This window comes from Homo sapiens, chromosome 19 (assembly GCF_000001405.40).
Source record: "Homo sapiens chromosome 19, GRCh38.p14 Primary Assembly".
Taxonomy (NCBI): Eukaryota; Metazoa; Chordata; class Mammalia; order Primates; family Hominidae; genus Homo; species Homo sapiens.
The window spans coordinates 24,440,946-24,448,980 of NC_000019.10; the positions used below are offsets into that span (position 1 = coordinate 24,440,946).

Sequence of the window (8,035 nt, forward strand, 5' to 3'; positions counted from 1 at the left end):
CTTAGAAACTTCTTTGTGATGTGTGCATTCAACTCACCGAGTGGAACCTCACTTTTGATAGAGCAGTGTTGAAAGACACTTGTTGTAGAATCTGCAGGTGGATATTTGGAGTGCTTTGAAGCCTTCCTTGGAAACGGGAATATCTTCACATAAAAACTAGACATAAGCATTCTCAGAAACTCCTTTGTGATCTGTCCATTCAGCTCACAGAGTTGAACCTTCCTTTTGATAGAGCAGTTTTGAAACACTCTTTCTGTAGAGTCTGCAAGTGGATATCAGGAGCGCTTTGAGGCCTATGGTAGAAAAAGAAATATCTGCATATAAAAACTAGACAGAAGCATTCTGAGAAACTTCTTTGTGATGTTTGCATTCAACTACCAGAGTTGAACCTTCCTTTTGATAGAGCAGTTTTGAAACACTCTTTGTGTAGAATCTGCATGTGGATATCTGGAGCGATTTGAGGCCTATGGTCAAAAAGGAAATATCTTCCTATGAAAAACAGACAAAAGCATTCTCAGAAACTACTTTGAGATATGTGCATTCAACTCACAGAGTTGAAACTTTTTTTTGATAGAGCAGTTTTGAAACACTCTGTAGAATCTGAAAGTGGATATTTGGAGCTATTTGAGGGCTATGGTGGAAAAGAAAATATATTCCCATTAAACTAGACAGAAGCATCCTCAGAAACTTCTTTATGATGTTTGCATTAAACTCACAGAGTTGAACATACCTTTCCATAGAGCAGTTTTGAAACACTCTTTTTGGGGAATCCGCAAGTGGATATTTGGACTGCTTTGAGACCTTTGCTGGAAATGGGAATATCTTCACATATAAACTAGACAGAAGCATTCTCGGAAACTTCTTCGTGATGTGTGCATTCTGCTCCCAAAGTTGAACCTTCCTTTTCATAAAGCAGTTTTGAAACACTCTTTTGTACAATCTACCATTGGATATGTGGAAGGCTTTGATGCCCATGGTAGAAAAGGAAACATCCTCATATAAAATCTAGACAGAAGGATTCACAGAAACTGCTGTGTGATGTGTGCATCCAAATCACGGAGTTGAACTTTTCTTTTGTTAGAGCAGTTTTGAAACCCTGTTTCCGTGGAATCTGCCAGTGGACATTTGGAGCGCATTGAGGGCTATGGTGGAGAAGGAAATATCTTCACATAAAAACTAGAAAGAAGCATTCTCAGAAACATCTATGTGAAGTGTGCATTCAACTCACAGAGTTGAACCTTCCTTTTGATAGAAGAGTTTTGAAACACTCTTTTGTACAATTGCAGGTGAATATTTGGAGCGCTTTGAAGCCTTTGTTGGAAATGGGAATATCCTCACATAAAAACTAGCCAGAAGCATTCTCAGAAACTTCTTTGTGATGTGTGCATTGAACCCAGAGAGATGAACCGTTCCTTTGAGAGAGCAGTTTTGAAACGTGTTTTTGTAAGATCTGCAAGTGGATATTAGGGGCGCTTTGAGTCCTTAGGTGGAAACGGGAATATCTTCGAATAAAAACTAGACAGAATTATTCTCAGAATCTTCTTTGTGATGTGGGCATTCAACTAACACAGTTGAACATTTCTTTTGACAGAGCAGTTCTGAAACACTCTTTTTGTAGAATCCGCCAGTGGATATTTGGAGCGCTTTGAGGGCTATTGTGCAAACGGAAATATCTTCACCTAAAAACTAGACCGAAGCAATCCCAGAAACTACTTTGTGATGTTTGCATTCAACTCACAGAGTTGAACCTACCTCTTCATAGAGCAGTTTGGAAAACCTCTTTTTGTAGAATCTGCAAGTGGATATTTGGACCACTTTGAGGCCTTCATAGGAAACAGTACTATCTTCACATAAAAACTAGGTAGAAGCATTCTCAGAAACTTCTTTGTGATGTGTGAATTCAACTCACAGAGTTGAACCTTCCTTTAATAGAGCAGTTTTGAAACACTCTTTTTGTAGAATCTGCCAGTAGATATTTGGAGCGCTTTGAGGCCTTCGTTGGAAACCGGAATATCTTCACATAAAAAGTAGATAGAGGCATTCTCAGAAACTTTTTTGTGATATGTAGATTCAACTCACAGCGCTGAACCTTTCTTTTGATAGAGCAGTTTTGAAAAACTCTTTTATCGAATCTGCAAGTAGACATTTGGAGTGCTTTGAGGGCTGTGGTCGAAAAGGAAATATCTTCACATAGAAACTAGACTGAAGCATTCTCAGCAACTTCTTTGTGACGTTTGCATTCATCTCACAGTGTTGAACATACCTTTTCATAGAGCAGTTTTGAAACACTATTTTTGTAGTATCTGCAAGTGGATATTTGGACTGCTTTGAGGCCTTCATTGGAAACGGGAATATCTTCACATAAACACTAGACAGAAGCATTCTCTGAAACTTCTTTGTGATGTGTGTATTCAACTCACAGAGTTGAACCATCTTTTTTATGGAGCGGTTTTGAAACAGTGTTTTTGTAGAATCAACAAGTGGATATTGGGAGCGCTTTGAGGCCTCTGGTGGAAAGGGAATGTCTTCACATAAAAACTGGACAGAAGCATTCTCAGAAACATCTTTGTGATGTTTGCATTCAACTCACAGAGTTGATCCTTCCTTTTAATAGGGCAGTTTTGCAACACTCTTTTTGTAGAATGCACCAGTGGGCTTTTGGGGCACGTCAAGGGCTATGGTGAAAAAGGAAATATCTTCACATAAAAACTAGACAGAAGTATTCTGTAAAACTCCTTTGTGATGTTTGCATTCAACTCAGAAAGTTGAACTTCTCTTTATATAGTCCAGTTTTCAAACACTATTTTTGTAGAATCTGCAAGTGGATACTGGGACTGCTTTGAGGCTATCGTTGGAAACAGGATTATCTTCACATAAAAACTAGACTGAAGGATTCTTAGAAACTTCTTTGTGATGTGTGCATTCAACTCACCGAGTGGAACCTCACTTTTGATAGAGCAGTGTTGAAAGACACTTGTTGTAGAATCTGCAGGTGGATATTTGGAGTGCTTTGAAGCCTTCCTTGGAAACGGGAATATCTTCACATAAAAACTAGACATAAGCATTCTCAGAAACTCCTTTGTGATCTGTCCATTCAGCTCACAGAGTTGAACCTTCCTTTTGATAGAGCAGTTTTGAAACACTCTTTCTGTAGAGTCTGCAAGTGGATATCAGGAGCGCTTTGAGGCCTATGGTAGAAAAAGAAATATCTGCATATAAAAACTAGACAGAAGCATTCTGAGAAACTTCTTTGTGATGTTTGCATTCAACTACCAGAGTTGAACCTTCCTTTTGATAGAGCAGTTTTGAAACACTCTTTGTGTAGAATCTGCATGTGGATATCAGGAGCGCTTTGAGGCCTATGGCAGAAAAAGAAATATCTGGCTCTAAAAACTAGACAGAAGCATTCTGAGAAACTTCTTTGTGATGTTTGCATTCAACTACCAGAGTTGAACCTTCCTTTTGATAGAGCAGTTTTGAAACACTCTTTGTGTAGAATCTGCATGTGGATATCTGGAGCGATTTGAGGCCTATGGTCAAAAAGGAAATATCTTCCTATGAAAAACAGACAAAAGCATTCTCAGAAACTACTTAGAGATATGTGCATTCAACTCACAGAGTTGAAACTTTTTTTTGATAGAGCAGTTTTGAAACAATCTGTAGAATCTGAAAGTGGATATTTGGAGCTATTTGAGGGCTATGGTGGAAAAGAAAATATATTCCCATTAAACTAGACAGAAGCATCCTCAGAAACTTCTTTGTGATGTTTGCATTAAACTCACAGAGTTGAACATACCTTTCCATAGAGCAGTTTTGAAACACTCTTTTTGGGGAATCCGCAAGTGGATATTTGGACCGCTTTGAGACCTTTGCTGGAAATGGGAATATCTTCACATATAAACTAGACAGAAGCATTCTCGGAAACTTCTTCGTGATGTGTGCATTCTGCTCCCAAAGTTGAACCTTCCTTTTCATAAAGCAGTTTTGAAACACTCTTTTGTACAATCTACCATTGGATATGTGGAAGGATTTGATGCCCATGGTAGAAAAGGAAACATCCTCATATAAAATCTAGACAGAAGGATTCACAGAAACTGCTGTGTGATGTGTGCATCCAAATCACGGAGTTGAACTTTTCTTTTGTTAGAGCAGTTTTGAAACCCTGTTTCCGTGGAATCTGCCAGTGGACATTTGGAGCGCATTGAGGGCTATGGTGGAGAAGGAAATATCTTCACATAAAAACTAGAAAGAAGCATTCTCAGAAACATCTATGTGAAGTGTGCATTCAACTCACAGAGTTGAACCTTCCTTTTGATAGAAGAGTTTTGAAACACTCTTTTGTACAATTGCAGGTGAATATTTGGAGCGCTTTGAAGCCTTTGTTGGAAATGGGAATATCCTCACATAAAAACTAGCCAGAAGCATTCTCAGAAACTTCTTTGTGATGTGTGCATTGAACCCAGAGAGATGAACCGTTCCTTTGAGAGAGCAGTTTTGAAACGTGTTTTTGTAAGATCTGCAAGTGGATATTAGGGGCGCTTTGAGTCCTTAGGTGGAAACGGGAATATCTTCGAATAAAAACTAGACAGAATTATTCTCAGAATCTTCTTTGTGATGTGGGCATTCAACTAACACAGTTGAACATTTCTTTTGACAGAGCAGTTCTGAAACACTCTTTTTGTAGAATCCGCCAGTGGATATTTGGAGCGCTTTGAGGGCTATTGTGCAAATGGAAATATCTTCACCTAAAAACTAGACCGAAGCAATCCCAGAAACTACTTTGTGATGTTTGCATTCAACTCACAGAGTTGAACCTACCTCTTCATAGAGCAGTTTGGAAAACCTCTTTTTGTAGAATCTGCAAGTGGATATTTGGACCACTTTGAGGCCTTCATAGGAAACAGTACTATCTTCACATAAAAACTAGGTAGAAGCATTCTCAGAAACTTCTTTGTGATGTGTGAATTCAACTCACAGTGTTGAACCTTCCTTTAATAGAGCAGTTTTGAAACACTCTTTTTGTAGAATCTGCCAGTAGATATTTGGAGCGCTTTGAGGCCTTCGTTGGAAACCGGAATATCTTCACATAAAAAGTAGATAGAGGCATTCTCAGAAACTTTTTTGTGATATGTAGATTCAACTCACAGCGCTGAACCTTTCTTTTGATAGAGCAGTTTTGAAAAACTCTTTTATCGAATCTGCAAGTAGACATTTGGAGTGCTTTGAGGGCTGTGGTCGAAAAGGAAATATCTTCACATAGAAACTAGACTGAAGCATTCTCAGCAACTTCTTTGTGACGTTTGCATTCATCTCACAGTGTTGAACATACCTTTTCATAGAGCAGTTTTGAAACACTATTTTTGTAGTATCTGCAAGTGGATATTTGGACTGCTTTGAGGCCTTCATTGGAAACGGGAATATCTTCACATAAACACTAGACAGAAGCATTCTCTGAAACTTCTTTGTGATGTGTGTATTCAACTCACAGAGTTGAACCATCTTTTTTATGGAGCGGTTTTGAAACAGTGTTTTTTGTAGAATCAGCAATTGGATATTGGGAGCGCTTTGAGGCCTCTGGTGGAAAGGGAATGTCTTCACATAAAAACTGGACAGAAGCATTCTCAGAAACATCTTTGTGATGTTTGCATTCAACTCACAGAGTTGATCCTTCCTTTTAATAGGGCAGTTTTGCAACACTCTTTTTGTAGAATGCACCAGTGGGCTTTTGGGGCACGTCAAGGGCTATGGTGAAAAAGGAAATATCTTCACATAAAAACTAGACAGAAGTATTCTGTAAAACTCCTTTGTGATGTTTGCATTCAACTCAGAAAGTTGAACTTCTCTTTATATAGTCCAGTTTTCAAACACTATTTTTGTAGAATCTGCAAGTGGATACTGGGACTGCTTTGAGGCTATCGTTGGAAACAGGATTATCTTCACATAAAAACTAGACTGAAGGATTCTTAGAAACTTCTTTGTGATGTGTGCATTCAACTCACCGAGTGGAACCTCACTTTTGATAGAGCAGTGTTGAAAGACACTTGTTGTAGAATCTGCAGGTGGATATTTGGAGTGCTTTGAAGCCTTCCTTGGAAACGGGAATATCTTCACATAAAAACTAGACATAAGCATTCTCAGAAACTCCTTTGTGATCTGTCCATTCAGCTCACAGAGTTGAACCTTCCTTTTGATAGAGCAGTTTTGAAACACTCTTTCTGTAGAGTCTGCAAGTGGATATCAGGAGCGCTTTGAGGCCTATGGTAGAAAAAGAAATATCTGCATATAAAAACTAGACAGAAGCATTCTGAGAAACTTCTTTGTGATGTTTGCATTCAACTACCAGAGTTGAACCTTCCTTTTGATAGAGCAGTTTTGAAACACTCTTTGTGTAGAATCTGCATGTGGATATCAGGAGCGCTTTGAGGCCTATGGCAGAAAAAGAAATATCTGGCTCTAAAAACTAGACAGAAGCATTCTGAGAAACTTCTTTGTGATGTTTGCATTCAACTACCAGAGTTGAACCTTCCTTTTGATAGAGCAGTTTTGAAACACTCTTTGTGTAGAATCTGCATGTGGATATCTGGAGCGATTTGAGGCCTATGGTCAAAAAGGAAATATCTTCCTATGAAAAACAGACAAAAGCATTCTCAGAAACTACTTAGAGATATGTGCATTCAACTCACAGAGTTGAAACTTTTTTTTGATAGAGCAGTTTTGAAACAATCTGTAGAATCTGAAAGTGGATATTTGGAGCTATTTGAGGGCTATGGTGGAAAAGAAAATATATTCCCATTAAACTAGACAGAAGCATCCTCAGAAACTTCTTTGTGATGTTTGCATTAAACTCACAGAGTTGAACATACCTTTCCATAGAGCAGTTTTGAAACACTCTTTTTGGGGAATCCGCAAGTGGATATTTGGACCGCTTTGAGACCTTTGCTGGAAATGGGAATATCTTCACATATAAACTAGACAGAAGCATTCTTGGAAACTTCTTCGTGATGTGTGCATTCTGCTCCCAAAGTTGAACCTTCCTTTTCATAAAGCAGTTTTGAAACACTCTTTTGTACAATCTACCATTGGATATGTGGAAGGCTTTGATGCCCATGGTAGAAAAGGAAAGATCCTCATATAAAATCTAGACAGAAGGATTCACAGAAACTGCTGTGTGATGTGTGCATCCAAATCACGGAGTTGAACTTTTCTTTTGTTAGAGCAGTTTTGAAACCCTGTTTCCGTGGAATCTGCCAGTGGACATTTGGAGCGCATTGAGGGCTATGGTGGAGAAGGAAATATCTTCACATAAAAACTAGAAAGAAGCATTCTCAGAAACATCTATGTGAAGTGTGCATTCAACTCACAGAGTTGAACCTTCCTTTTGATAGAAGAGTTTTGAAACACTCTTTTGTACAATTGCAGGTGAATATTTGGAGCGCTTTGAAGCCTTTGTTGGAAATGGGAATATCCTCACATAAAAACTAGCCAGAAGCATTCTCAGAAACTTCTTTGTGATGTGTGCATTGAACCCAGAGAGATGAACCGTTCCTTTGAGAGAGCAGTTTTGAAACGTGTTTTTGTAAGATCTGCAAGTGGATATTAGGGGCGCTTTGAGTCCTTAGGTGGAAACGGGAATATCTTCGAATAAAAACTAGACAGAATTATTCTCAGAATCTTCTTTGTGATGTGGGCATTCAACTAACACAGTTGAACATTTCTTTTGACAGAGCAGTTCTGAAACACTCTTTTTGTAGAATCCGCCAGTGGATATTTGGAGCGCTTTGAGGGCTATTGTGCAAATGGAAATATCTTCACCTAAAAACTAGACCGAAGCAATCCCAGAAACTACTTTGTGATGTTTGCATTCAACTCACAGAGTTGAACCTACCTCTTCATAGAGCAGTTTGGAAAACCTCTTTTTGTAGAATCTGCAAGTGGATATTTGGACCACTTTGAGGCCTTCATAGGAAACAGTACTATCTTCACATAAAAACTAGGTAGAAGCATTCTCAGAAACTTCTTTGTGATGTGTGAATTC

The 8,035-nt window shown here is 38.6% G+C and overlaps 2 annotated features.

The window, feature by feature from the left end:
* Positions 1,711-2,696: an enhancer, noted in NCBI's record as "OCT4-NANOG hESC enhancer chr19:24625458-24626443 (GRCh37/hg19 assembly coordinates)". NCBI's record gives its function as "activates a minimal SCP1, AML or CMV promoter by ChIP-STARR-seq in primed H9 embryonic stem cells {active_cell/tissue: H9 hESC(primed)}" and the evidence as "EXISTENCE:reporter gene assay evidence [ECO:0000049][PMID:30033119]".
* Positions 7,248-7,854: an enhancer, noted in NCBI's record as "OCT4-NANOG hESC enhancer chr19:24630995-24631601 (GRCh37/hg19 assembly coordinates)". NCBI's record gives its function as "activates a minimal SCP1, AML or CMV promoter by ChIP-STARR-seq in primed H9 embryonic stem cells {active_cell/tissue: H9 hESC(primed)}" and the evidence as "EXISTENCE:reporter gene assay evidence [ECO:0000049][PMID:30033119]".